This window comes from Homo sapiens, chromosome 16 (assembly GCF_000001405.40).
Source record: "Homo sapiens chromosome 16, GRCh38.p14 Primary Assembly".
NCBI lineage: Eukaryota > Metazoa > Chordata > Mammalia > Primates > Hominidae > Homo > Homo sapiens.
In genome coordinates, this window is record NC_000016.10 from 29076929 (window position 1) to 29102273 (window position 25345).

Consider the following 25345-nt stretch of genomic DNA (forward strand, 5'->3'; position numbering starts at 1 on the left):
TTTTTTTTCCCCCACCTTGGCCCATTTCACAGGTAATAATGAGAGAGTAATAATGTCTTTACTGAGGTTTCACCTCTTCAAATGCTTTATTTACAAAGCATCTTTTAACTTCAGCAAGTGCTAGAATTAAAAACAATTACAGCATTTTATTTATTTATTTATTTGTGCTGGAGTCTTCCTCTGTCACCCAGGCTGGAGTGCAGTGGCGTGACCTCGGCTCACTGCATCCTCCACCTCCCAGGTTCAAGCAATTCTCCTGCCTCAGTCTTCTGAATAGCTAGGGTTACAGGCATGCACCACCACACCTGGCTAATTTTTTAATTTTTTTAATAGAGACGGGGTTTCACCATGTTGGCCAGGCTGGTCTCGAACTCCTGAGCTTGTAATCCACCCGCCTTGGCCTCCCAAAGTGCTGAGATTACAGACGTGAGCCACCATGCCTGGCCTACAGCATTTTATTTTTTGAGGAACTTACCTAAGCATTACTTTGGGACAGTAAACCGGTTCTCTGAATAGGGATTTTTGTTTTTGTGGTAGGTTAGAAGCATTTCTACTATATCTCAGCAGTAGAGGGAAAATGTTAAGTAACCGTATGTTTATATGTAATATCCATTTGTATCCATATTTGAGTAAATACTTTTTTAGATCCTCCTGAATTAGATCATTATAGCTGGCTGTTTTTTTTCCCTCATGCTTTTTGAGAATTCGCAGGAGTATCAACTATTATATTCAAATGTCAATACAGAAGTATAGCTAAATGTAGTTTATCATTTTCCTTTTTCCAAGCCCTCTGGCTGCACTAACATGAGTGTTTAAATTTTTGTAGTCATGATTTTATAATCCGCAATTGACATGTGAAAGTTAGTGTTCCTTTTATAATTTCATCTGATGTTAAAGTACGGTTAAAAGTCTTGCTGTTGATACTAAACAGGAAACAAAAGCATAACTTAATTATTTCCCCTCCTTGTTAAGGGTGAAACAAATGACTTTGAGTTGTTGAAGAACCAGCTGTTAGATCCAGACATAAAGGTAATTAATTTTGTGTTTGATCATTAGCAAAATTATTGCCACTTTATACAGACATAGTTTGCTCTTTGGGTCCCATTCTGTTCTGCAGAACTTGCTCTCTCCATGGTCCTCCCTTACTTTAATCTGGTGGTTCTCAACCAGGGACAGTTTTACCCCCTAGAAGACATTTGGTGATGGCTGCAGATATTTTTGTCACAATTGGGAGGAAAGGGTGCTACTGGCATTTAGTGGGTGAATGACAGAGATGCTGCTAAACATCTCACAGTGCACAGGGCAGCCTCCCATAACCAAGAGTGATCCAGCCCCAAATGACAACAGTGTTGAGGCTGGGAAACCCTGCTCTAATGCTTCCTTTCTATTAGATTACTACCTCTTTCCTCCATGCTGCATGCAACTCTTTTGTCTCTTTAAAGCTAAAACAAACCAAAAAAAAAAAAAAAAACCACTGTTTCAGCATTTCCAGGTTCGAGATACACCTATCATGTAGTAAAACCTTAATACATTTTGTTTCACCATTCTTCCTTTACTGCCCAGTTTTGAAGAGAATGGTTTATTACCATGGCAGTGGTAGTTAGATTGCCTGGAATGAAATTCCAATTTTATTATCCAGTGTGTGATCTTGAGCAAATTGTTTTAACCTCTCTGCCTCTATTTTCCACTGTGTGAAACCAAGAAAACAATAGAGATTTAAAAAATATGGAGTGTTTTGTTTTTTAAGAGATGTGGTCTTGCTGTGTTGCTCTAGCTATTCACAGGTGTGATCATATTGCCCTACAGCCTTGAACTCCTGGCCTCAAATGATCCTTTCTCTTCAGCCTTCTAAAAAGCTGGGACTATAGGTGCATGCCACTGTGCCTGGCTTTAAACATGGAAATACTTAACAAGGATTCAATGAGCTAATATGCAAGAAGCACTTAGAACAGTCTCTGACTCAAAGTAAGGGCAGTAATTGTCATCTGTTGTTTTTGTTCCAGCTGACTGCGCTGTATCATTTCTCACTCACATTTAAGTCCACTGTTCTTATCACTGTAGTAATTACCCTGACAGGTTACCCATGTTTTTTTTTTACATGCTGATTTCAGTGGACTTTTTTGAGACAAAGTCTCCTTCTTGTCACCCAGGCTGGAGTGCAGTGGTGTGATCTGGGCTCACTGCAACCTTTGCCTCCTGGGTTCAAGCAATTCTCCTGCCTCAGCCTCCCAAATAGCTGAGATTACAGGCACCCGCCACCATGCCTGGTTAATTTTTTTATTTTTAGTAGAAACGGGGTTTCACCATGTTGGCCAGGCTGGTCTTGAACTCCTGACCTCAGGTGACCTGCCCGCCTCGGCCTCCCAAAGTGCTGGGATTACAAGTGTGAGCCACTGAGCCCAGCCTCAGTGGACTTACTTTTTTAAGCCTTGTATTCCTTGTATCAGCCGACACTGTTGGCCACCCACTTCTTAAAACTTCAGTGTTTCTGATCCTCCTGTCTTCTGATCCTTTAATCTCTCTCTCTTTTTTTTTTTTTTTTTTTTGCTCTGTCGCCCAGGCTGAAGTGCAATGGCACAATCTTGGCTCACTGCAAGCTCCACCTCCTGGGTTCAAGTGATTCTCCTACCTCAGCCTCCCGAGTAGCTGGGACTACACGTGCCCGCCACCACCCCCAGCTAATTTTTTGTATTTTTAGTAGAGATGGGGTTTCACCATGTTAGCCAGGATGGTCTCGATCTTCTGACCTCGTGATCCGCCCGCCTTGGACTCCCAAAGTGCTAGGATTAGAGGTGTGAGCCACCACACCCGGCCAGTGATCCTTTAAGCTCTAGTATCTCTCGATAGGTTCTTGATCTTAAATTTGGTGTTGATTAGGCTTCAAAACTTGACTCTTTTCTCACTCTGTTGATTCTTCTGTGTGATCTCCTCATCTCCCTTCATGGCTTTGAAATCTACCTGTGTCCTAATATATTTGTGTCTGTAGCCAAGATTGCTCTTGTGGGCTCCAGACTTATTTCATTTTCATTTTTGGGGACGGGCAGAACAGAGTCTTGCTCTGTCACCTAGGCTGTAGTGTAGTGGGATGATCTTGGCTCACTGCAACCTCTGCCTCCTGGGTTCAAGCCATCCTCCCACCTCAGCCTCCTGAGTAGCTGTGCCACCACGCCCAGCTAATTTTTTTGTATTTTCAGTAGATTTGGGGTTTCACCATGCTGGCCAGGCTGGTCTCGAACTCCTGACCTCAAGTGATCCACCCGCCTCAGCCTCCCAAAGTGCTGGGATTATAGACGTGAGCCACTGCACCCGGCCTAGACTTGTTTCTTAACTGTCTGTTAGATGCATTTACCCAGAATCATCATAGATGCTCCAAACTTAGCATGTCCACTCTTGGCTGGGCTCCATCTTTCATGGAGCTTTCCCTGGTTCTCTCTAAGCACATGGTTGTTCCTTCATTGAGTCCATTTCCCACACTTCCAGATCTCTCTAGTTACAGATCTGGTTTACAAGGCCCTCCATGGTCTATTTGGTGCTTCTTTGTTCCCCAGATTTATTATCTGTTGGCTTGGTCACTATACATGCCAGCCATACTGAACGTTTTTCAGTTTTCTGAAAACATACTTTTCCTTCTGTAAGAAGCAGAACTTCCAGAAAAGACTCAACTGTGTTACTGTTTAAAGACAGCTGAAGCATCACTTTCTCTTTAAAGCTTTTCCTGACCCCTGCCTTCTTTCCCAGATACAAAGGGACATTTTCTTTGTGTTCCACTGTATTTTGTATCAGCAGTTCTCATTCTTGGTATTTTGACATACCAAGAATTGCACTAGTTGTGTGGAGTGTTGCAAGTAGAACTTTTTTCATCTTGAGACAGGGTCTCGCTGTGTCACCCAGGCTGGAGTGTAATGGGCCCGATCATGGCTCACTGCAGCCTCAACCTCCCAGGCTCAAGCAATCTTCCCACCTCAGGCTCCCGAGCACCTGGGACCACAAGCATGAGCTACCATGCCTGGCTAATTTTTCTTTTTCTTTTTTTTTTTTTTTTGTTATACTCTCTATTTATTTTAATATTTGAAATGTTGTACAGTAAAATGTAATAAAACAGAACATTTCTCCCCAAATGCAGGGATTTTCTAAGTACTCAATTCTAATTTTTCTAATTTTTGTGTTTTTGGTTTATTTTTTGAAATGGGCTCTCACTCTCACCCAGGCTGGAGTGCAGTTGCGCGATCACAGCTCACTGCAGCCTTGACTTTCCCAGGCTCAGGTGATCCTCCCACCTCAGTTGTTGTATTTTTAGTAGAGATGGGGTTTCACCATATTGCCCAGACTGGTCTCGAACTCCTGGGCTCATGCTATCTGTCCGCCGCGGCCTCCCAAAGTGCTAGGATTACAGGCGTGAGCCACTGTGCCTGGCCTGGTTTTATTTATTTATTTTTATTGATTTATTTTTTTTTTGAGACGGAGTCTTGCTCTGTCGCCCAGGCTGGAGTGCAGTGGCGAGATCTCGGCTCACTGCAACCTCCGCCTCCCAGGTTCACGCCATTCTCCTGCCTCAGCCTCCGGAGTAGCTGGGACCACAGGCACCCGCCACCATGCCCGGCTAATTTTTTGTATATTTAGTAGAGACGGGGTTTCACCGTGTTAGCCAGAATGGTCTCGATCTCCTGACCTCGTGATCCATCCGTCTCGGCCTCCCAAAGTGCTGGGATCACAGGCGTGAGCCACCGCGCCCGGCCCTTATTTATTTATTTCTAACCATTTAACATTTAATTTAAACTACCAGGAAGTTTTTTTGAAGTGTTTTGTCTTTCCCCAGTTACCAAATGAATTGTCCTAGAAAATTTATTAAATAGTTTGGGCCGGGTGCAGTGGCTCACGCCTGTAATCCCAGCACTTTGGGAGGCCGAGGTGGGTGGATTACCTGAGTTCAAGAGTTCAAGACCAGTTGGGAAATGTGGTGAAATGCCGTCTCTACTAAAAATAAAAAAATCAGCCAGGTGTGGTGGCACACACCTGTAATCCCAGCTACTCGGGAGGCTGATGCAGGAGAATCACTTGAATCCAGGGGGACAGAGGTTGCAGCGAGCCGAGATCGCACCACTTTACTCCAGTCTGACGAATCCGCGGCGGGTTCGGCGGGGTGGAGGCCCCGCCTTCCGGGGCCGGGGAGGTGGGAGAAGCCATCTTCCTGCGGCTCCGGGTTTCTTCCTCCTGTCACGCCCGGGTCTCCCGCGTCTCCTCGGTCTCCTCCGCGTCGGGCCTGCGGCCCGCGCCCGCCCGGAGTCTCCGCAGCCGCCGCGCCCCGCGGACCCGCCCCGGCTCCTGCGCCGCAGAGTGGAAGGGGCGGCTGTGCCCTCTGCTCGCCCAGCCGAAGTCCCTCCCGCGCCACCTACATCCCGGCCGGCGGACTCGGGGCCGCGGCGGGCCGGGGTCGGACGCGACCTTGGCCGCGGGGCTGGGCAAGCAGCTGCCCCTTCCCAGCGCCGCGCCCGGCGCGTGTGCTCTGAAAGTGCGAGCTGCCGGACTTATTCTAGCGGCGGCGCCGGGAGAAAGGAGGCTGCTTCCCTAGCCGCTGCCGCTGTCGCCAGGAGAGCCATGAGCTCATGGACAGCTCCCAGAAATATGTCTATATGCACCACTGACTGCCAGAGTTCCTAATTTTTCTAGAGACGAAGTCTCCCTATGTTGCCCAGGCTGGTCTCAAATTCCTGGGATCAAGCAGTCTCCTCCTGCCTTGGCCTCCCAAAAGTGCTGGGATTACAGGCATGAGCCACTGTTCCTGCCTGCTAGTAGAAATAATAATAGTTCAGTACTAAAGCATCAAAGTCTGCAACTGATTTACTTTTTTTTTTTCTTTTTGAGACAGAGTTTTGTTCTTGTTGCCCAGGCTGGAGTGCAATGGCATGATCTTGGCTCACTGCAACCTCTGCCTCCGAGTTTTTTAAGCAATTCTCCTGCCTCAGCCTCCTGAGTAGCTGGGATTATGGGCATGCACCACCACGCCCAGCTAATTTTGTATTTTTAGTCGAGACGGGGTTTCTCCATGTTGGTTAGGCTCGTCTCGAACTCCAAACCTCAGGTGATCCACCCACCTCGGCCTCCCAAAGTGTTGGGATTACAGGTGTGAGCCACCACGCCCAGCCTGATTTACTTTTAAAAATGGTACAGTTTAAATGTTATCCTTATAGTTTTGTTGCAGTCTTTTTAGTGGAAAAGAGATAGGATAATTTTATTTACACACTAACTTAGCTTGTTTTCTACATGCCTTTGGCCTTAGTGAGCTACCGTTAATGTTATCCTTAACAGTTTTGGACATATGAAATTACCATAGTACAAATGAGTTGTGGTTTTACTTTATTTTACTGCCAGGCTACTTGGGATTTCATCAGAAAATGGTTGATCTGTGGGAGTTTGACACATGGATATGGCATAGTAAGCACTCAGTAGCTGAATTAAGGTGGGGAAAAGGGGACAGCTTCTTCTCCGCATATAGGGAGGCATGTGGGATGGTGGATGGAGGATAGCCTTGACCGAGACAGATGGGTTTGGACCTGCTTCTTTACTGGCCTCTTGGTAGGGTAGATTGCTTATTAATCATTCTTAGCCTCAGCTTCCTGAACAGCAAAATGGGAATAACTAAACATCTTGCAGAATTTTTAGGATTAGAAGAAGATACATATGCGGAGTGTCAGGCACCATGCCTGGCATATGGTGTATTCTCACTAAATGATAACTCCATATGAATATCCCTGTAGGTATGACCTTGTGTTGCTTTTATTTATATGTCTAAGCCTTCCACAAATTAGGGGCTTTTTCTTAATGGTTTTTTTCCTGTGCAGTATGTATGCATGAATATAATTAATATAGTAATATTTTACATAATTGACACTGTATTTTATACCTTGTGTTTCAAATTTAGCAGTTCTTCTCATGTCACTAACAATTACTATGAACAGTAATTTGATTGCCTGAAAAATATTTCATGGAGGAATGGGGCTATCATTTATACAGAACAAACACATCATAATATATTTAAACTCAGCCACAGATTTGGTTTAGAAAAGTTATGTTTATTCATGATCCCAATTGATCAGCCTAGACTGAATTTTATCAGCATGCTTCCTGGTCAGCTTGAATATAGAGGAAATAGAGGTAGCTATTGTTCCTTTGTGATCTTCTAATATTTCAATCTGCTAGAATTCTGCAGTTTTTAAAAGTCCCAGGTGTCAACATTTGAGGTGATTTCGCTTTTTCAGGGCAAACAAAAGTGATCAGGCTGAAGTATTGCATTTAAGTCTTTCTCCTGTGTATTAGAGTTACTAGATTACTTTCTTAAAACAATTAAGTTTATTGTGACATCTTTTTCTGTTTTAATACCCAGTTTTGATTTCCTTCCAAGTTTGTGACCTTTTCCCCCCAATCTATTCTTGATAAGTGATTGATATAAGATAGCTGTAAATTTCTGTTATCTTAGAGGATTTGTGATTTTGAAAGTACTCTTTGTTTAACTTAAGGATGACCAGATCATCAACTGGCTGCTAGAATTCCGTTCTTCTATCATGTACTTGACAAAAGACTTTGAGCAACTTATCAGTATTATATTGGTAGGTTCACCATTTATTTTACTGTCAAGTATGTAATTCAGAACTTTGGTAATAGTATATGTTATATTAATAACATGCTGCTTTTATCTTTCTTCCCCCACTCTAGAGATTGCCTTGGTTGAATAGAAGTCAAACAGTAGTGGAAGAGTATTTGGCTTTTCTTGGTAATCTTGTATCAGCACAGACTGTTTTCCTCAGACCGTGTCTCAGCATGATTGCTTCCCATTTTGTGCCTCGTAAGTCATTACTCTTTGCTTGCTTGGAATTTTCTTTTCTTTTCTTTTTAATACTTCTTTATTAAAATACCACCTTCCCCTTATATATGAGAGACTGCTACCATGGAAGATTCCAGATGCATATTGGCACCAGGTCTGGTAGACATATATTCCCCGTAATGACCCCTATGGAGGTGTCTAGATTCATTTGTTGCTGTGAGTTTTATGAATTATAACTTGCTTTATTGAACTCCTGGTGAAATCTAGGAATTTTTAGCCGTTTAAAAACTATAAAGTTGCTTTACTTTTTTTCAGATTGTGCATTTAATTAATCATTGGGCTAACTTTGGATTATGGAAAAATAACTTTTTTTATAGCTGTTCATTGTCTAGGTCAATAACTTTTTTTGTATAGCCATTCATTGTCTAGATCAATGACAGAACAACATATTTTCTTTTTCCCTCAAAAGCCCGAGTGATCATTAAGGAAGGCGATGTAGATGTTTCAGATTCTGATGATGAAGATGATAGTAAGTATAAAAAGGTTTAAAGCCTGGGCACAGTAGCTTACACCCATAATCCCAGCACTTTGGGAGGCCAAGACGGGAGGATCACTTGAGGCCAAGAGTTTGAGACCAGCCTGGGCAACATAGTGAGACCTTGTCTCTGCAAAAAAACATTTTTTTTCAAATATTTTCTTAAAAAAGGCTTAAAGTAGAACTAGGCAGGGTAGTGTGTGTCTTTAGTCACAGCTACCTGGGAGGCTTAAGTGGGTGGATTGCTTGAGCCCAGGAGTTCAAGCCCTGCCTGGTGGCAAGACACTGTCTTCTTTAAAAAAAAAAGGAAAGCACAGAATACCTGGCACCTATTCTAATAAGTAGACTGCAACAAATGACAACCTTTGATGTAATCTTTTTGTTATATTTACCATTGATATGCAGTCAGTTGTCCTGAATGCATTATTTATATAATTAGTCCATTTAATTTTCATTGATGCTGGTGGAGAAAAGTCTTGAAATTATTATTTCTCTGATAAATTATTCCATTTTGGTTAGCATGTGTTTTTAGCTTCAAGTATGTCACTTTTTGTTTGTTTGTTTGTTTTTTGAGACAGAGTCTCGCTCTGTTGCCCAGGCTGGAGTACAGTGGTGTGATCTCGGTTCGCTGCAGCCTTCACCTCCCAGGTTCAAGTGATTCTCCTGCTTCAGCTTCCTGAGTAGATGGGACTACAGGCATTTGCCACCATGGCCGGCTAATTTTTGTATTTTTAGTAGAGATGGGGTTTCACCATATTGGTCAGGCTGGTCTCGAACTCCTGACCTCAAGTGATCCACCCACCTCGGCCTCCCAAAGTGCCGGGATTACAGGCATGAGCCACTGTGCCCGGCCAGCATTTATTTTTAGCTTCAAGCGTGTCACCCTTCAGTTTTGTTTTGATGCTCATACTCTGAACTTTTCTCCTTTCAGATCTTCCTGCAAATTTTGACACGTCACAGAGCCTTGCAAATAATAGCAAGATATGTACCATTGTGAGTATACTTTTCCTTATTTTGAATGTTTAATTCTCAAGAAAATTGTAATCAATTAGTAAAAATTATAAAATGTTAATAGTATTAAAGCTTGAGTCTTACATTGCATGTTTTTTTTGTATCCACTTGAGGAAACATTACATTCTACAAAAAGTGGCATTTCCATTTTCTATTTATTCTCTTTAATTGTTTTTCAAAGTTTGTATGCAGATTCTCCCCCAATTTTGTATGGTGGTTGGAATTTTGTTTTTATCTTCAACAGATATGCTATCCAAAATTTTTCAGTGAGAAACCCCTGGGTGTGTTTGTGTCATGCCATATGAATAAAAATTGCACTTCTAAGAAAAGCTTTTCAGGTTTGTGGGTTTCTTTTGGAGGGGTGGATTTCTAGTTCCCTCTGTCTGTTGATTATTTGTTAACTTAAAAAAATCCAACTTGATTATTTTTTCTTCTTTTAAAAATAATATACATGTGTAGTGGGAAATGTCAGCAAAAGTGCTGTTATGTTTCTGTGGGAGAGAAGCTCCCTCTTCGATTTGCTGTTGATATCAGAGTTAACAGAAGCTTATTTTCTCTAAGTCGTTACAGACTTTCTCAGAAGCTAAACATTGTAAGTTCCAGTTCTGGCCGGGCGCGGTGGCTCACACCTGTAATCCCAGCACTTTGGGAGGCTGAGGCGGGTGGATCACCTGAGGTCGGGAGTTCGAGACTAGCCTGACCAACATGGAGAAACCCCGTCTCTACTAAAAATACAAAACTAGCTGGGCATGGTGGCGCATGCCTGTAATCCCAGCTGTTTGGGAGGCTGAGGCAGGAGAATCGCTTGAACCCGGGAGGCGGAGGTTACAGTGAGCCGAGATTGCGCCACTGCACTCCAGCCTGGGCAACAAGAGCGAAACTCTGTCTCAAAAAACAAAAAAAGTTCCAGTTCTTTGAGGTAGGGGTTCCTGTTTGCCTCCTATGTCTATCGATATTTGCTTTTAGAATGGTAGTTTTCCTTTTTATTCCTTTTCTAGAAAGTAAAGTTAACATGGATTGATTTAATTTTTTAAAAATAGGACACCGTGGTTTCTCATGCCAATACTGGTGGAAAAATTTCCATTTGTTCGAAAATCAGAGAGAACACTGGTAAGAAATCTTTTCATTGAGAACATCATGGAAAAGTTGTTTGTATGATTTCATTTTAGATGATATTAGGTCTTTTTCTTTCTTTTTCTGTCTTTATTTTTATTTTTCTTTTTTGAGACCGAGTCTCACTCTATCGCCCAAGCTGGAGTGCAATGGCGTCATCTTGGCTCACTGCAACCTCTGCCTCTCGGGTTCAAGCAATTCTCCTGCCTCAGCCTCCCCATTAGCTGGGACTGCAGGCACCTACCACCATGCCCAGCTAATTTTTGTATTTTTAGTAGAGACAAGGTTTCACCATATTGGCCACACTGTTATCAAATGCCTGACCTTGTGATCTGCCTGCCTCGGCCTCCCAAATTGCTGGGATTGGTGAACCACTGTGCCCGGCTGATGTTAGGTCTTTTTCTTAAAGGTTACTTTGTCTTCTAGACTTTAAGCTGATGTCTAAGAATTTGACTCAGATTCCTTTCTTATAAAGCGGCTATTGGGGATTCCCAGTGCCTTTTTCTGTTATTACTATGTGCAAGTCAAGGTCTGAGTTCATTTCAGGAATATCTGTAGTGGCTTTATGCTCATACGGGCAAGAATTACTAGAAGATAATAGTTCATGTATTACTAATTGTGAACATGCCTTATTTTAACCTGAAAACAAAGCCTTCCATAGAAGAATTCTGCTTAAGTTTTTGTACAATGTTCAGATCATCTGTGCAGTTTTTAATAATTAATAGTGGTTGCCTTAGTAGAAAACCGAATCTAGTAGCATACAAAAAGAATTATGTACCATGACCAAGTGCGACTGATGTTAGGAATGCAAGATTGATTTTTTTTTTCGGGGGTGGGGGGACAGTCTCTGTCTGTCACCCAGGCTGGAGTGCAGTGGCACCATCTCAGCTCGCTGCAGCCTCTGCCTCCAGGGTTCAAGTGACTCTCCCACCTCAGCCTCCCAAGTAGGTGGGACTATAGACATGGGGCACCACACCCCACTAATTTTTGTGTTTTTGGTAGAGATGGGGTTTTGCCATGTTGGCCAGACTGGTCTTGAACTCCTGACCTCAAGCGATCTACCCGTCTCCACCTCGCAAAGTGTTGGGATTAGAGGCGTGAACCACCGTGACCGGCCGAGATTGAGTTAGTACCTGAAAATGAATTAATAAAATATTTTGTAGCAATAGAACAAAGGACAAAAACCACATAATTATCTCAGTAGATGCAGAAGTGTGTGACAAACACCAATATCCTTTTATGAGAAAAACAGAAGGAAATTTTCTCAACCTGATAAAGGGCATCTGAAAAACCCACAGCTAACATCATATTCAGTGGTGAAAGACCAAAAGTTTTTTCCTAAGACAAAGAACAAAACAAGGATGTCTGCTCTTGCTGCTTGTCTAGCCAAAGCAGTTAGGCAAGAAAAAGAATTAAAAGCATCCAGATGGAAAGGAAGGCGTAAACTCTCTTTTGCATGGTGATTTTATATGTCATCCTAAGGAGTTTACACACACACAAGAAATTTTAGAGATAATAAATGAGTTCAGCATGGTTACGGGACAGAAGACTAACATACACTAACCAGTTGTTCAAGACAATTGAATAGGGGAGAATAGTCATTTCAACAAATGCTGCTGGCAGAAGTGGATATGAACATGCAAAAGAGTGAAGCATATGGATATCCATATACAAAAATGAACTCAATAAAAGCCCTACATGAAGTGTAAAAACTGTAAAACTCTGAGAAGAAAACGAGTACATTTTCATAATGTTGGATTAGGCAGTAATTTCCAGATTTGATGCCTAAGCACAAGCAACCAAAGAAAAAATGCATCAATTGTACTTCAAAATTAAATGTTGTTATGCTTCATAGGACATCTTCAAGAAGATGAAAAGAATCCCCAAATAATGGGAGGAAATATTTCTAAATTTTATGTCTGGTAATGGACTTGTATATGTAAAGAACTCTTATAATTGAATAATAAAAGGGCAAATAGCCCAACTGAAGTGGGCAAAGGATCTGAATAGGCATTTCTGCAAAAAAAGCACATGAAAAGAAGCTCAACATCATTAGCCATCAGGGAAATGATTTCACTTCATGCCCACAAGGATGGCTATAATCAGAACGAGAAGACAGTAACAAGTGTTCACAAGGATATGGAGAAATGGGAACGTTGGAACTGTCATATGTTGCTGTGAGAATGTAAAATGGTGCAGCCGTTTTGGAAAATAGCCTGGCATTTCTTCAAGTTTAAATGTAGAATTAACACGTGACTCAGCAGTTCCATTTCTGGGTTTATACCCAAGAGAAATGAAAATATATGTCCACAGAAAAACTTGTACATGGATGTTCATAGCAGCATCATCCATAATAGCCTCAAGTAGAAGCAACTCAAATGTCTGTCAACTGATGAACAGATGACAAAACATGGTACAATGGAATATTACTCAGCAATGAAAAGGAATGCTTTATATGTTACAACATGATTGAACCCTAAAAACATGCCACAAACTGTGTATGACTCCATTGATATGAGAGGAATGGTTTACATGTTACAACATGATTGAACCCTAAAAACATGTATTATATGACTCCATTTATATGAAATGTCTCAAAGAGGCAGATTCATAGAAAGACTAGTGGTTGGCAAGGTCTTCATTTTTTAGGGGTGCACTAATGGATGTAGGATTTCTTTTTAGAGTGATTAAAATGTTACAAAATTGCTGGCTGGGTGCAGTGGCTTATGCCCATAATCACAGCACTTTGGGAGGCTGAAGTGGGAAGATCCAGGAGTTGAAGACCAGCCTGGGCAACATAGTGAGAAAATGTCTCTCTAAAAGGAAGAATTAACCTCATGTGGTGGTGTGCACCTGTAGTTCTAGCTACTAGGGAGGCTGAGGAGGAAGGATTGCTTATCCCGGGAATTCAGGGTTGCAGTGAACTATGATTGCACCACTGTACCCCATCCTGAGAGAGAGAGCAAGACCCTGTCTCTAAAAGAAAAATAAATGTTCTGAAATTGATTATGTTGATGGTCACATAACTGAATATATTAAAAACTTAAATTGTATACTTTAAGTTGGTGATCGTATAATATATGAGTTTTATCAATACAGCTACTTAAAAACCTATAGTTACGCAAATTAAAAATTTCATTTACTGGGGATAATTGAAATGATTATACCGAACATAATACATGTAGAAACAGTATAGTTTTTGTATTGCTGGATAGTCTGTTTTTTTCTTTTTAAATATTTGAAACTAAAGGTCATGTAATTGATGTTTTTCTTACATAACTGTGAAACATTTATTCTCTGTTGAAATGTTTTATCTTACGTTTTCTCCTTTAGGAATGTTACGTTCATAACTTACTAAGGATTAGTGTATATTTTCCAACCTTGAGGCATGAAATTCTGGAGCTTATTATTGAAAAACTACTCAAGTTGGATGTAAGTATTGAGTAATCTATTTTTATTTTCTTTTTTTCTTTTTTATTTTTTTTATTTTCATTTACTGACTTGAATTTGTTATAATCACAGTATGTGGAAACAATAGTCAGTGATAGAAAAGAATCCACTTGGCCAGGCATGGTGGCTCATGCCTTTATTCCCAGCACTTTGGGAGGCTGAGGCAGGCAGATCACCTGAGGTCAGGAGTTCGAGACCAGCCTGGCCAACATGGCGAAACCCTGCCTCTATAAAAAATAAAAAAAAAAAATTAGCCAGGCATGATGGTGAGTGCCTGTAATCCCAGCTACTCAGGAGGCTGAGGTGGGAGAATTGCTTGAATCTGGGAGGCGGATCTTGCAGTGAGCTGAGATCGTGCCACTGCACTCCAGCCTGGGCGACAGAGCGAGACTCCGTCTCAAAAAAAAAAGAAAAGAAAAGAAACCACTAGCACCATTCTTTGCTTCCTTTCTTTGAATGTGTCTTGAACTCCATCTGTGCATGTGCTGGGAGTTGTAGACAGTTCCTTCTCATGATTGGAGAACAAGGCGTTAAATACATAGTTATCCAAATGTAAAAGTATGGTTGTGGAAAATGCTATGAATGAAACATACATTATGAGTTAGAGAATCTGATAGAATCACAGTGGGGTCAGGAAGGGATTCCTACGGAAGTGATTTTTCCTGTTTGGCCTTTCTTAAGGGCAGATTATAATTATAAACAGTTAAAACTTTGTTTAAGGAGGCCTGCACTAAGGTGCAGTGGGAATGAAAGGAAGTGGTAGATTCTAGTGACATTGTGAGGAAAGGTGAACTGGTCCTTGAGACTGGTTTGGAGGAGGGGAGGCAGACAGTAAGGGAAAGGAATCCTTCAATAGTTGCTGCCTGTGGAATCGAATCTTGGTGTTGCCATTAATGGTAGTTAGAAATATGAAGAGGAGGCCGGGTGTGGTGGCTCACGCATGTAATCCCAGCACTTTGGGAGGCCGAGGCGGGCGGATCACGAGGTCAGGAGATCGAGACCATCCTGGCTAACATGGTGAAACTCTGTCTCACTAAAAATACAAAAAATTGGCTGGGCATGGTGGCGGGCACCTATAGTCCCAGCTACTCGGGAGGCTGAGGCAGGAGAATGGTGTGAACCTGGGAGGCGGAGCTTGCAGTGAGCCCAGATTATGCCACTCTGCTCCAGCCTGTGTGACAGAGCAAGACTCTGTCTCAAAAAAAAAAGAAAAAAATTATGAAGAGGAGGCAGTTGGAAGAGTAGTTCCATCTTGGCCAGGTTCAGTTGCTGGTGGGCAGCCTACCAGAGAATACTCACAGGCAGTCGTGGCTGCAGATGGGTACCTGAGCATAAACCTTTGGAAAGATGCAGTTTAGGACAGGGGAGGAGAAGGGTGATCAGAAGTATGGGGAAAACCAAGAGTCTGGATGCTCAGGAAGAATCCGCTGGAAGGAGGAGTTTGGTCAGCAGCATCAGATACTGCTGTCATTTTTTAGAAAGATGAAAAGAGCAACAGTCCTTGGATTTAGTGGTTAGAAGGTAGTCTTTGTTGCTTTCTGGAGGACCATGTCAGTGAAGACGCAGAAACTGCATTTCGGGAGAGGATGTGGATGGTGGGGAAGCAGAATTGGGGCTGTTGGAGACCTTGGTGCAGGGTTGTGGTGGAAGGAGGGGATGGAGCAGGGCTAAGAGGCGTGGTTTAGGAGTGGGGAGACGTGAGCAGGTTTGTGGACTGAGGGGAGAGGAGCTTTGGTGGAGGAAAACATTGATGCTATAGGAAAGCAGGAAGATGGAACAAGGTCTTAGAAGAGCTGGAGCTTGGGCCCACTGGTGCAGTGCTCACTTGGAGTTGCACCTCTCTGGCCAACTGTATATGTACTTTTTATAGTCTTTCTCTGGCATATACTTAAGGAACATTTTAGAATGTTTACAAAGAAGGTCAAGCATAGTTAATAAAAAATGGCATGGTTTGAGTGGTATGTTAAGATATTTGAATGGTGATATACCAAAATAAATATTGCATCATGCACATTTGGCTTGCAGTTCATCATTTTTCTGCTCAATTGATTGATGATATGTTTATTACACAATGTGTCTGTGAGTGTCTTGTGCATAGAGATTGTATTAGTCCATTTTCACACTGCTGATAAAGACATAGCTGAGCCTGGGAAGAAAAAGAGATGTTTTTGTTTGTTTGTTTGAGATGGTGTCTCGCTTTGTTGCCCAGGCTGGAGTGCAGTGGTGCGATCTCGGCTCACTGCAACCTCCACCTCCCGGGTTCAAGCAGTTCTCCTGCCTCAGCCTCCTGATTAGCTGGGATTACAGGCACGTGCCACCATGCCCGGCTAATTTTTTGTATTTTTAGTAGAGATGGGGTTTCACTGTGTTAGCCAGGATGGTCTCAATCTCCTGACCTCATGATCCGTCTACCTCGGCCTCCCAAAAGTGCTGGGATTACAGGCGTGAGCCACTGCACCTGGCCAAAAAAGAGGTTTAATTGGACTTACAGTTCCACATGGCTGGGGAGCCCTCAGAATCATGGCAGGAAGTGAAAGGCACTTCTTACATGGTGGCGGCAAGAGAAAATGAGGAAGATGTAAAAGTGGAAACCCCTGATAAAACCATCAGATCTCGTGAGACTTATTCACTATCACGAGAACAGTATGGGGGAAACCTACCCTATGATTCAAATTATCTCCCACCAGTCCCCCACCAACAACATGTGGGACTTACAGGAGTACAATTCAAGATGAGATTTGGGGCCAGGAGTGGTGGCTCACGCCTGTAATTCCAGCACTTTGGGAAGCTGAGGCCGGTGGATGACCTGAGGTCAGGAGTTCGAGACCAGCCTGACTAACATGGAGTAACCCCATCTCTACTAAAAATACAAAATTAGCTGGGCACAGTGGCACATGCCTGTAATCCCAGCTACTCAGGAGGCTGAGGCAGGAGAATCTCTTGAATCTGGGGGGGCGGAGTTTGCGGTGAGCCGAGATCTTGCCATTGTATTCCAGCCTGGGCAACAAGAGCAAAACTCTGCCTCAAAAAAAAAAAAAAAAAGAAAAAAATGAGATTTGGGTGGGGACACAGAGCCAGACCATATCAGAGCTAGAATAAATGTTGAATTTGTTGAGGCTACCTGACATAGAGCATCATGTGATAGTTGTCGATTTTATATAAGTATGTAGTAAAAGGGGCTTGGTTTATTATATTTAAATTCCTTCATGACCTAGGTCAGTTTACAGGCTTGCACCATAATTGTGTATTGTGTCGGGGTGTGATATAAGGCACTAATCTGGACACCTTGAACGTGTGTATATCAGATGAATTTCCATCCCAAAATAACATAGTTGTATTTTTTAAATCCTTTTATTCTTTTTCTTCCCCCCTTTGTTATAGGTGAATGCATCCCGGCAGGGTATTGAAGATGCTGAAGAAACAGCAAATCAAACTTGTGGTGGGACAGATTCCACGGAAGGATTGTGTAATATGGTTAGCAGTTTATTAATGAAAGTGGAGATGAAGTTTATCATAATCAAAGGGTGGAAACAGCTAGTGCTGCTCATCTTTGTAAGGCTTTAGATTGAAAGAATTAAAATAGTTTAGCAAACTTGAAAACGATTCCTTATATGAGTAATTTGCTGCCATGTCATTTAGCACTTAGCATAATTGGTCTATTTCCAAGGCTTTGAATTTGGGTTTGGTGAAGTATGTTTCACTTTTGTTCTTGTAACTTTCAGTGTTTGTTTTTGTAAGCCAGATGCTGTCTGTGAGGGCGTGGCTAATAGAAAAGCATACCTGTTTAATTTCTGCATTTTACCACTTGTACACTTTATAGCATTACTTCTTACGAGTAGCTGGGACCACAGGTTACCATGCCTGGCTAATTTTTGTGTTTTTAGAAGAGGCGGGGTTTCGCCATGTTGGCCAGACTGGTCTTGAACTCCTGACCGCAAGTGATCTGCCCGCCTCCTGCCCCGCAAAGCGTTGGGATTACAGGTGTGAACAACTGTGCCTGGCCCACGTTCCCTTCTCAGTACACTTGGAGAGAAAACAGATTGCTGCCTGCCAGCCCAGCTAGGTGCTCCGAAAATGTCATCCTGCCTTTTGGTCACTAGGTGGTGCTCTTCCCTTAAGCCTTTCTCTATTAAAATCTCATATGGGGTAATTAACAGTATTTCCTTTATTCTTTCCAAGGGTTGAGTTGTAACTAGCCCAAACCAACTTATTAATCTAGAATTTTAAAAACTTTAGGCTTTGTCTTTTCTTCTTCTTCTTCTTCTTCTTTTTTTTTTTTTGGTGGGGGAAACAATATAGAAGGCTTTTCCTTCTCTGCAACGATTTTGTGGCTTCCTAGAGGTCAGGAGAGTGTTGGTCATGGGAAAGAAGGTTGAATTCAGTCTGCCCACATGGGCGTGCCTAGCTTTAGAACAGCGCTATTTAGGAGAAGTTGGAAGTTACACCCTTTGGTGAGAAGCTGTGTCTGTTTTTTTCCATGATTGGCATAATTAACTCAAATACCAGCTGTACGTTAGTCCATATTTCTGTTCATGGTTGAGTTCAGTGTGTCCAGAGACCGGAAGGTGCTTTGCACTCACAGGAGTGCCCATGTGGAGCTCCATGGGATGTGAATTATTGTTGGTCACCAGTTCTGGCTGACATTGGAATCACTTGAAGAGTTTTTATAATATGTGGATTCCAAAGCCCTGTCACAAACCTATTGAATTTGTACCTCCCAGGTTGAATTTTTTGTTGTTTTTTGTTTGTTTGTTTTTTGAGATGGAGTCTCACTCTGTCACCCAGGCTGGAGTGTAGTGGCATGATCTCAGCTCACTGCAACCTCTGCCTCCTGGGTTCAAGTGATTCTTCTGCCTCAACCTCCCAAGTAGCTGGGATTACAGGCACCTGCCACCACGCCTGGCTAATTTTTGTATTTTTAGTAGAGACAGGGTTTCTCCATGTTGGCCAGTCTGGTCTCGAGCTCCTGACGTTGGGTGATCCACCCGCCTCGGCCTCCCAAAGTGCTGGGATTACAGGCGTGAGCCACTGTGCCTGGCCCTGGGTTGATTTTGATGCTTAGCTAGGTTTGGGATCCATTGGATTATTTAACACCCGAGGTGCCTTTTGTTTTTAATGATATTCTCTCAACGTGTTTTAAAAATGAAGCCCATGAGATAGTTATGAGATAGTAGAACTTTTCCCTACATTGGTGAAGTAAAAATCTTGGGATTTTGATAGCCAGATTATCTTAGGCATTAAAAAATATCACACCGACGCCCTCTCTTTTTATAGGGATTCGCAGAGGCATTTTTGGAACCTCTTTGGAAAAAATTGCAGGATCCAAGTAATCCTGCCATCATCAGGCAGGCTGCTGGAAATTATATTGGAAGCTTTTTGGCAAGAGCTAAATTTATTCCTCTTATGTAAGTAGCCTAATTTTCTGAGTACTTTTTAATATCATGCTTTAAAAAGAGTATAGCATTGTCTCAAGTCAGAAATATCTCCCATATGTTTTTGGCATGTTTTTAAAGTGAATAAAATTCCTACTCTGTGCAAGATGTTTATATTTCTAAGTGGTGATTTTAGAATAAAGTGTCTCCTTTTCTATATATAAAACCCTGTATGTAAGGCTTTTGTCATCTCTTTTGTGTGGTTGCACTTAAAGATCCATTTGTTTTGTGGATAGAGGACAGTGTTGTATACTGTTTTGATTCTTTTTGTAGGTTTGTCATTTTTTCATTTGCATTCCAAATCTATTGTATCTGTTAAAGCTGAAGAAAAACCCTTTTAAAGGTAATAGACCTATCTAGGAGGCCAGTTTCTTGCAGTGGCCCATGAAGATATCTTTGGACAAGGATGCTGTTGAAACCCTTCCCCGAGAACAAAATTATTCACCATAGGACTTGACTGGATGCATCAGGGAATACTGAAGTCCACCAGACTGTCTTTCTCTTGAGAGGTGTTGGTGAACATGTCCTATTTGGCCAATCACCCTAAGAGGGGTGCCTTTGAGATGGTTAGGAGAACCTGCTTTCCATCCCTTGGGACGTTCTTAGGGGCTCACCTGTTCCTAGAAGGTCAGAGCTACTCTGCCTTGTAATTGGAAGGTTGTCTTCCTACGCACTCATCCTTATCCTTCCTTTCTTTGCTTTTCCTCTGTACCCATGGGTATTATTTAAAGAAACCTATGAACTTACTTAGCATGGTTTGTAATGAAAGGCAGTTGTGTGTTTTTATGTTATTCTGGTTTTTTTATGAAGTGTAAAGTTGATTTGAATTTTTCTTTCCTCTAGTACTGTAAAATCATGCCTAGATCTTTTGGTTAACTGGCTGCACATATACCTTAATAACCAGGATTCGGGAACAAAGGCATTCTGCGATGTTGCTCTCCATGGACCATTTTACTCAGCCTGCCAAGCTGTGTTCTACACCTTTGTTTTTAGACACAAGCAGCTTTTGAGCGGAAACCTGAAAGAAGGTCAGTGTTGTGGGAGTGCTGGACTGGATTTTCCTTGTGTTCTTGTCACCCTTCAGAATGGTGATTCATTACTTTTTTGAGATTTTTATAAAAACTGGATTCAGAAAACTGCATGTACACTCAAACTTTTAATAATAATTTCAAGCAGCTCATAGGCCCCTACAAACCCCTTAAGATAGATTTGAGCTTGAGAACCCTGCAAACCCCTTAAGATGGATTTGAGGTTAAGAAAGAGGTTTCTGCCTTTGAAGGTTTGAAATGTGAAGATGTCTCCAGAGGTGAGGCTGAGCCCTGGGCTGTGCCAGCGCCCTGTACAAAGCTTCATTTGGATGCACCTTCTCTTTGTTGTCCTTGTAACAGCCCAGTAAATGGCAGGTATTCTCCCTTTACAGACAGCACCAAAGCACAGGAAAGTCATTTTCCCAAGATCACATGGTTACTGGCAGGATTAGAAAACTGAAGCCAGGTTCAGCTGACCCTAAAGTTTGAGTTTATATAGATTAAACTCTGCCTGAAGCCTTGAGACTTAATTGACCAGTATTGTTTTGCTAATTTCTAAGAGTTATAATTCAAATCTATCAGTTGAAACTTACTAGATTAGCGTATTTTAGTTGAAGAGAGTCTCCAAGAACAGTGTTTATAAGTCATTGTAAATTGTTCTGTTTATGTTTATGAATAATTCATATGGTTTTGTGGGTCACTTCCTCTAAACCAGGGTCTGTCAACCCTGCATGATTGCCATTTGGGCTGCATCATCCTTCATCGTCGGGGGCTGTCCTCTGCACTGTAGGATGTTTAACAGCCTCCACCTACTAGCTGCCAACAGCAGTCCCTGACCACCCCCAGCTGTGACAACTAAAAGTGTCTCCAGACACTGCCAGGTGTCCTCTGTGGGGGTTGCAGTCTCCTTAGGTTAACAGCCACAGCTCTAAACTGAAAGTTGTACGTGTTGCATTATATATGTTTACCTACATCCTACATGCTTCTAAAAGATGTTGTATGAACTAGTAGGATGAGGTTTTATCACAAGGTAAGTAAATACAAGCTCTGCTTTTCTTTGTATAAATTAATGCCAGGAATCTGAATTAAATATCTTGTTTTTGTAAGCAGTGACATCCCATTTAGGTAATTTTTATTGAAATATGCATCAAAGAAACTCCTAAGAAAATATACTTAAGTACAAGTTGGTCAGCTTGTCTCTTAAAATAAATGTGATGTCTTTATTTTACTCATGTAGGAAAGAATTGTATTCATTAAGTCTAAGAAAGTGGCTTCTGTCTAAATTTGCCGTCCGTCGAGGTAGAAGGCAAATTTGGAGTTTTCTTGTTTAGAAAAAAAACTACAGATGACTACTGTGCACCTGAAAACAGCACTCAGCTTCACTAACAAGACATGCAAGCTAGAATCAAATTGCTGTTTTGTTTTGTTGCCTGTCGTGATTGTTAGCTGAAACCAAATCACAAGGTCTTTTTCTCCCTCTGTATTATCTCAGCATACACTGAGCTTACAAACGTATGAACTTCGTGTTGTCGTGGAATCTTACAGCCTGCTACTTCCTAAGTTTTCTTTAGAGAAGCTGCCTTGGTGACCAATGAATGTGGTTAGCCTAGTGATACTCTTCTGGGCCATATTACTGTGTGACTATCTGCATGGACCTTTATTTAAAGCATTTCTGCAAATAATTTTTTTAAGTTTTTTTTAAATGTGTGATAATTTGTGCTTTTAAAGATATCTTACACTTTTCACTTATTTGTACCTTTAAAAAATCTTTTTTTTTTTAAACCAAAGGTTTGCAGTATCTTCAGAGTCTGAATTTTGAGTGGATAGTGATGAGCCAGCTAAATCCCCTGAAGATTTGCCTGCCCTCAGTGGTTAACTTTTTTGCTGCAATCACAAAGTAAGTTATTTACGCTTTCTTGATGGGAGTTATTTAAAATATTTTTATTTATGTTTATCTAGTATTGTAAGAGTCTGTTAAATTTCTATGAAATTAGTAACATTATAAAAGGCCAGGTGTGGTGGCTGACACCTGTAATCTCAACATTTTGGGAGGCTGAGGTGGGAGGATTGCTTGAGGCCAGGAGTTAAAAGACCAGCTTGAGCAACATAGTGAGACCCTATCTCTATAAAAAAATTTTAAAAATTAGCTGGGTGTGGTTGCCTGTGCCTGTAGTCCCAACTACTCAGGAGGCTGAGGTAGGAGGATCACTTGAGCCCAGGAGGTCAAGGATGCAGTGAGCCCTGATTGTACCACTGCCTTCCAGTCTGGGCTCCAGAATGAGACCCTGTCTCTTAAACAAACAAAAACAACCCAGTCCTTGCAGGAAATACTGTGATACAGCTATTGTTTTTATACTTTGATGGCATTGGAAATTACTACTACTTCTTATCCAAAGGGCAGCACTTTGAAATAAGTATGGCAACCAGTAAGCTGAGAGGGGCAAAGCCATAGATGCTTATTAGAGTGACTCCTGTAATAGTAATAGAAATAAACTGGACATGAGGCAAATGTTGACCTGTAAGAGATTGGTTTAGAGAGTTCTGTTCTCTCAGATCTGGTAGCTATGGCTAATCCATAGCCTTTCCTCTGTGCCAGGCAGTTCTAAGCACTTTACATAGAACTAATTTGATCCTCAAACAACCCTCTAGGATGAAACCCTGTTTATCAACAGGGAGGTGGAGGTACAGAGAGGTGAAATCACTTGCCTAAAGTCATAGAGCTAGACTGGCAGCACAGATTTATATGTAGTCTGGCTCCTTTGTAAGCTTTCACTAAGTTATTCTGCTTTATGGAGAAAGCAAATTGGAGAATTGAATATTCAATGAGGATATTTAGGCCAGATCATAGCTTAAAATCTTCAACAGATAAGAGCCAGCAGCTTGCTGAGCTCTGTCAGCCTCTTTAGTTCTCCTTTGCTAGGCGTCTGGTTCAAGGTGTCCTCTCTTCTGAGTCTCAGTGATAGTAAAGGATTAGGAAAAGGCATAAAGAGACCAATAAGCAACGGCGGTGAGTGGGTGGAGGCTTCAGCACTTTGGTTAAGATGGTGAGCAGCTCAAAGAGTGAGGATGGATGAAGCAAAGCAGAGGCCGCTGCCCCTGGTATGTTCTCGGGGTGGGGACAGAGGACTGCATTTGTGAACCATCTGGTCCAGGGGCTCTCGATTTGGGGTTGGCATGCACATTGGAGGGACAGAGTGTGATGCGATGTGAGGCTAAGAGCAGGGGATTGAAATAAAAGTCTCTGCCTAGGTACAGATATGGTAAATAAAGGCGTGTACCATTCTGTAGCTGTTGCTTTTGCCTGCTTGATGCTTTTGAGATTGAACCATATTGACACAAAGCTTTATTTTGATTTTAACTGCTGTGTTATGTTCTGGGAATCTTTTTTATTGAGTCTTTGTTGGGATTTCATCTGTTAGTTTTTGTCTTTTTTTTTTTTTTTTTGAGACAAGGTCTTGCTCTGTCACCCAGGCTGGAGGGCAGTGGTGTGATCTTAGCTCACTACAACCACCACCTCCCAGGCTCATGCACTTCTCCTGCCTCAGCCTCCCGAATAGCTGGGATTACAGGCACCTGCCACCACACCCAGCTAATTTTTGTATTTTTAGTAGAGACGGGGTTTCATCATGTTGACCAGGCTGGTCTCAAACTCCTGAGCTCAAGTGAACCACCTGCCTCAACCTCCCAAAGTGCTGGGATTACAGGTGTGAGCCACCGTGCCCAGCCGGCTGTGTTAGTGTTTTAGTGCTCAGGAACATTCTTGTGTGTGGGCACACGCTTCCTTGTCACACACCCGGAAGTGCGGTCAGCTGCGGGGTTGTAGGAGATGCAGATCTTCAACTTTACCTGATAGTGCAAACCACCCTCCAGTGTGGTTTTGCTGATGTGTCCTCCACCAGGTGGAGGGGTCAAGTGCTGTGAGCCTTGGCTAACAGGACAGAAATCAAAGTATGTGGCTTGAAGTTGCCATGGTGACCTGAGAACCTGACATGGAGAGTGACAGAAGTGAGATCTAAGTCCTCATCTTGGAGAAGCTGTCCAATAGATAATTTTTCAAGTTGCTCAATCATTTAGAGACAACTACTGGAAAAATTAAAAACATAATTGTCTTTATGTTATGTTTTCTTCTATGCATTTAACTGTTCTCACTCGGCATGCCTAGTCCTTTCTGTGCCTGTTTTTGAGGTCATGACTTAGTCAACCCCTTGTCCCTCCTTCAGTAAAGGCTTATTTCTTCTTCAGTGCTTCTTCAGCAAGTCTCTTCACCAACCGCTATTTCCTCCTGAGTAACTCCTGAATCCCTTTTCCACCAACCTTCTAATTCTTTTGCAAACAGTAAAAATAAAGACACCTATAGTTATGTAATCTAAGAGTTTTGCCTTGCAAACATTTATTTTTAATGAATAATATCTATTACTCATTAAAATATAAGCCCAGTTTCACATTCTGAGTGATAGCCACGTTTTCTTTCTCCTTAGCAAACTTGCAGATAGAAGACCCATAGAACGGTACCCTAAAAGTGTTACTTTCTGCTTTATATTGTTATTTTTACTAGCACTTGTTATATTCAGCAATTTCTCTGGTAGGTACAGTTGTCACATGCAGCTCACATCCGCAGAGTCACTCCAGCATGTTAATGCCTCTGTCTGTGTTGTTTTTTTGTTCCACAGTAAGTACCAGCTCGTCTTCTGCTACACCATCATTGAGAGGAACAATCGCCAGATGCTGCCAGTCATTAGGAGTACCACTGGAGGAGACTCAGTGCAGACCTGCACAAACCCACTGGACACCTTCTTCCCCTTTGATCCCTGTGTGCTGAAGAGGTAGGTACTTTTAAACATTGACGCTGGAGGAGGTGGATTTTTTTTTTCTTTTTGAGACGGAGTCTCGCTCTGTCGCCCAGGCTGGAGTGCGGTGGTGTGATCTCGGCTCACCTCAAGCTCCGCCTCCCGGGTTC

The 25345-nt window shown here is 42.1% G+C and overlaps 1 pseudogene across 1 annotated transcript in view; it reads left to right on the top strand.

The window, feature by feature from the left end:
* RRN3P2 (RRN3 pseudogene 2) overlaps nucleotides 1–25345 on the top strand; it is a 41877-nt pseudogene that overhangs the window by 2087 nt on the left and 14445 nt on the right. Inside the window, exons 3-14 of the transcript NR_003369.2 lie at nucleotides 973–1029; nucleotides 7515–7604; nucleotides 7711–7840; nucleotides 8289–8348; nucleotides 9286–9347; nucleotides 10406–10475; nucleotides 13812–13910; nucleotides 17310–17402; nucleotides 19203–19333; nucleotides 20204–20388; nucleotides 22177–22285; nucleotides 25059–25211. The product of NR_003369.2 is annotated as an RRN3 pseudogene 2 (transcript). The remainder of the gene's footprint in view (nucleotides 1–972; nucleotides 1030–7514; nucleotides 7605–7710; nucleotides 7841–8288; nucleotides 8349–9285; nucleotides 9348–10405; nucleotides 10476–13811; nucleotides 13911–17309; nucleotides 17403–19202; nucleotides 19334–20203; nucleotides 20389–22176; nucleotides 22286–25058; nucleotides 25212–25345) is intronic.